Below are 5,102 nucleotides of genomic sequence, written 5' to 3'. Positions count from 1 at the left end.
CTTGGCCTTAGGAGCCAAAAAATTGGTGCAATTCCAAATATCAGTAATAAATTTTTTATTTTCGTCTATCTTAATGTCACTATCCATTTTAATCTAACCAATTGCCGTAATTATTAACAATGTTTACAAAATACTACTTAGCCACACTACATAAAGCCTTCTACATTATAAGCTTTCTTTCTGGTGCCCACAATTTCATCAGGTTCTGAGAGTGGCATTTAAATAGAGAACTGTTATCTTTTATTGTAACTTGTTATCTTATTCAGGACTCTTTTCTTTCCTATCTTCCATGTGGATGACGTCAAAACATATGCGCAGGTCCTTCTCCCAACTCTCCTTTAATCTAGCAGCTTTCAGATAAGAAAGAAGGACATGGTTTTTGTAAGTAGGCCAGTTCTTCCTTGTGGGAAAAACTGTATTTTTCCTTAAGTTATGGGAAGTATTGTTATTATTAATATTGCAATCAGAGGTTCTAGAAGGGACATGGAACCAGTGAAAATATGACAAAGAGGCCATTTGTCCTGATTCATTTTGTTTCATTTAACCCACTTTGTTACTCTAGGAGATGCAGATTAACTACCCGTGTCCTAGTGATGGAATATTTTTTACTGCTTAGCTCAGCTAGGTCCGGGTTCTTGTCTCATGACCTAGAAGAAACAGGAAGGGAGACGTCGAAGAGTCAGTGGAGAAGCTCTCAGCAGAGAGAGGGGTCCTGAAAGCAGGTTCCCGGTTGCCCCCTTCACAGTTGAATTCAAGGGCTTTTACAAAATACAAGGCCGATGAGGCTGGTTTCCTTTTTTGCACAATGCGTGAATTCCTGGTGGCGCGATCTCATCCCCCAGTGCGCATGCGGGTCCTCAGTCCGCTGCGGGCATGTTTAGGCAAGCACCCTGTGCATGTTCCCTTATCTGCCCAAAACATCTGGTGTAAGCGCTTGTGGGGTAGGTCCGAGGTTTTCCAGGGCACCCTTCCCTTACTGTCTGCCTAAAGCAAGCTGGCTAACTCCTTTCACTAGCAAACAGAAACGTATGGATTGCCTCAAATTTACTGTGACTGTACATATTTCTCAGGGAGAATGTTAACAAAAGCAGTACAGAAATTATCTGATGGCAATATAATTATAATGATTGCTAAAGTATAGTTAACATATAATATGTCCCATGCTCAGTGCTAAGAACTTTGCGTGAATTATGTGGTTTATTCTTAACAACAAACCTAAGAAATGGGTATTATTAGACATATAGAAAGGAGAAAACTGAGCTTTGGAGGAAATAAAAGTGTTGCGCATGTTTACACAAATAAGAAGCTGTGGATCTGGGATTCAAATCTGTAAAGCTTGATAATGGAAAGCGTGTTTTTAACTCATGTATAAAATACCTGCATCTGCACAAATACCTACACTTATATTTGTGTCAATATCTTTCAACAGCTAGATACACAAATACGTGTATGTGTATTTGTGTGTCATAACATAAAGACAACTATTTGTCAATAATGTCCTTTGTACGATTTTGCAAGTTATCTTGTGAGGAAAATAAAATTCTAATATTTATTTTTTAAAAGAAAAGAGTACAGTGAAATGAAGTTCCAGAATTAAAGAAGTGAACTTTTCAGAATTTCACACTTACAGAAAACTGTAACTTTGCTTTTGAAGGGAAATCAGTTTCAATCCCTTCACTTGAAATATGCTATTGTTGTGACTGCAACAGTTAAATGATTCATCTAGTTTGGAACCCTTAATTAGTGATAACTAATTGCTGGTTTTCTGAGCCATGTTTCAAACCGTTTTGATTATTAGTAGTAGGCCATTTTTATCTTGTTTTATCACAAAGGTAACTACATTTTCTAATAAATTTTACTGGGAATATTGAATTACAGATGGACAAACTGTAACTAAGCTACTAGTAGTTGAGCACACTGTTTAAACTGCATTGTAACCAAACACAAATAATATGAGGAGATGGTTTGATTCTAGACCAAATAGTCATGAAGAAAAATTTTTCTGCACTAAAGGACCAGTGCTAAAATATACAGGAGTGATAAACTCTGAAGAAATAAATGATGAGATGTTAAGTGACTGAGCTAAACCATGCCTTTATGTATGCATATCATTTCAGATAGCTTCCCAAGTAAAATAAGGTTTTTTTTTCAGACATGTAAGTATTAAAGTAATAAAACCATTAATAGGAATGGGATATAAAACATGTGATTTTATATTTTTACATGAAATTAATTAACATATGTTTTCTAGGTAGTACAAAAAAGTTTTAGAATAAAATATATGTCTAATTTTTGATGGTTGATTTTTAAATGGGAACATCTGCTAACAATCCCTTACGATCACCCTTTTCAAACTGCTAAAGAAAAAAGTTAATTTGAAATTGAACTGCAAAGAAAATATCTAAATAACACAGTTGTAATATATTTAGGAATATCTTCTCAGTCAATAAGGTGCTCTGTAAAGATATGAGCTACTAAGACAAATGGAATAATTCTTTCATGGCATTAGGGAACCAAGAATTAATTAATGTTTGACTTCATAATTGACTTTGAGATTATTAAAAGGTCCACAATATGTTTGATTTTAGGAAACATATTTGTTGTCTAAGAATAAACTTCAACCATCTTAAAAAATAATGTGGCCTAAAAATGTGAAAATTTAAGTCAGAAAAACAATACATTTCACACTTCCTTTAGATTTTATAGCAAGAGAAGACATACATGCAGCCAACAATCATATGAAAAAAAAAGCTCAACATCACTGATCATTAGGGAAACGCAAATCAAAACCACAATGATAGACCACCTCACACCAGTCAGAATAGCTAGTATTATTTAAAAGTCCAAAAATAATAGATGCCGGCGAAGTTGTGGAGAAACAAGATGCTAATATGTTGTTAATGGGAGTGTAAATTAGTCCCAACTATTGTGGAAGACAGTGTAGCAATTCCTCAAAGAGCTAAAAGCAGAACTACCATTCAATCCAGCAATCCCTTACTGGGTATATATCCAAAGGAATAGAAATCATTCTATTATGAAGACACATGCATGCATATGTTTATTGCAGTGCTATTCACAATAGCAAAGACATAGAATCAACCTAAATGTCCATCAGTGACAGACTGGATAAAGAAAATGCAGTACATCTACACCATGGAATACTATGCAGCCATAAAAAAGAACAAGATCATGTCCTTCACAGCAACATGAATGGAACTGGAGGCAATTGTCATTAGCAAACTAACATAGGAACAGAAAACCAAATATCACATATTCTCACTTGTAAGTGGGAGCTAAATGATGAGAAAACATGGACACATAGAGAGGAAAAACACACACTGGGGCCTACCAGAGGATGGAGGGTGAGAGGAGGAAGAGTATCAGGAAAATAACTAATGGATACTAGGCTTAACACTTGGGTGATGAAATAACCTGTACAATAAATCCCCATTACACAAGTTTACCTATGCAACAAACCTGCACATATGCCCCTGAACTTAAAATAAAAGTTTTTAAAAAAATATTTTATAGCAAGAAATGAAATTGCAAACAAGGTGGGATGAGTCCATCCATGGTAATCTAACCTGTTTGGATAAACTTAATTTTGTTTCTGTTTCTTCATATAACTCGGCAAATAATGGGAGGGCTGTGCTGTTCAATGTCTTCCTTCCAAGATTTATGGAGGTGGAGGTTGAAGGATGTCTATAAAAGCAGAGGGATGTGCAGACACATCCTACTTTATCTGTGTGTTATTTCAAGTTATGTATTAGCTCTTGGTTCAGGTTAACATCAGAAGGATGTGTGCAAGTAAAGAAAAAAATGGTTAATAATGATAAACAATATAGCCAACATTTGCTCTAAAAAGTAGTAATGTTTATGCAAATGATATATGAGAAGTAAAAAATAATAAAATAATACCATAATTTCTTTGCACATTTCCTTTCACCATAAATATTTTTTTGGGCTCAAGAACACAACTAGACTACTTTCCTCACTGTCTGTCACAGCTACTTCCTTAACTTATGTCTTACTGAATTTGTTTTTGTATTGATTATAAATTATCTTAATATTCTTATTTCCAAAATCCTGTGTGGAATTCAATAGAAACCCCAAGAGAATTGTGTCTCTGATTTTTGTTAAATCCCCTTGGTCCTCAATAATTTTTTTGCTTAATCTTGTGAAAACTTAGAGTTGTATAACTGAAAACGATTTTATTTTTAGTGCATTTATATTTTATTTATTTTCAGCTCTATTGAGGTATAATTGACAAAAATTGTGTGTATCTAAGGTGTACAACTCGATTATTCAATATACATATATATAGCAAAATAAATACCACTGTCAAGTTAATACATCTATTACCTCACATGGTAAATTAGTGTAACTCTTTTAGCAAATTTCAAGTACATAATACAATACTATTAACTATAGTTACCTTGCTGTTTATTAGATCCCCACAAATTATTCATCTCATAACTAAAAATTTAACTTTAACCACCCTCTCCTCACGTCTCTAACCCATGGCAAGAACCATTGTATACTCTATTTCTGTAAGTTCAATTATTTTAGATTCCACATATAATGAGACCACACAGTATTTTTCTCTGAGTATCTCACTTATTTCACTTAGTATGATACCCTTTGAGTTCTTCAAAGTTGTGTAAATGGCAAGACTTCCCTCTTTTTTATGACTGAATAATATTCCATTGTATGTGTATACCACATTTTCATTATCTATTCCTCTGTCGATGCACCCATAGATTGTTTTCATATCTTGGCTCTTGTGAATAATTCTGCAGTGAAGTCAGTGTTACAGCTATGTCTTTGAGATAGGGATTTTATTTATTTAGACATATATCCAGTAACGGAATTGTTGGATCATATGGTAGATCTATATTTTTGAGAAATGTCCTCCATACTGTTTTTCATAATAGATGATCAATCAATACTCCTGCCAACAGTGTACAAAGATTTCCTTTTTTTTTCTACACTCTGGCCAAGACTTGCTATCTTTTTGATAAATAATATCATTTCTTACTGTGTGAGGTATTATCTCACAGTGGTTTTGATTTGCATTTAATTGATGATTAGTGAATATGAAA

At 33.9% G+C, this 5,102-nt stretch overlaps 2 annotated features.

Moving 5' to 3' along the window:
- Positions 267 to 837: an enhancer, noted in NCBI's record as "H3K27ac-H3K4me1 hESC enhancer chr13:69282717-69283287 (GRCh37/hg19 assembly coordinates)". NCBI's record gives its function as "activates a minimal SCP1, AML or CMV promoter by ChIP-STARR-seq in naive H9 embryonic stem cells {active_cell/tissue: H9 hESC(naive)}" and the evidence as "EXISTENCE:reporter gene assay evidence [ECO:0000049][PMID:30033119]".
- Positions 838 to 1,408: an enhancer, noted in NCBI's record as "H3K27ac-H3K4me1 hESC enhancer chr13:69282146-69282716 (GRCh37/hg19 assembly coordinates)". NCBI's record gives its function as "activates a minimal SCP1, AML or CMV promoter by ChIP-STARR-seq in naive H9 embryonic stem cells {active_cell/tissue: H9 hESC(naive)}" and the evidence as "EXISTENCE:reporter gene assay evidence [ECO:0000049][PMID:30033119]".

Source organism: Homo sapiens, chromosome 13, assembly GCF_000001405.40.
Source record: "Homo sapiens chromosome 13, GRCh38.p14 Primary Assembly".
Classification (NCBI taxonomy): Eukaryota; Metazoa; Chordata; class Mammalia; order Primates; family Hominidae; genus Homo; species Homo sapiens.
The sequence above is the reverse complement of the archived record's forward strand: the minus strand, read 5'-3'. Positions and strand labels throughout refer to the sequence as shown.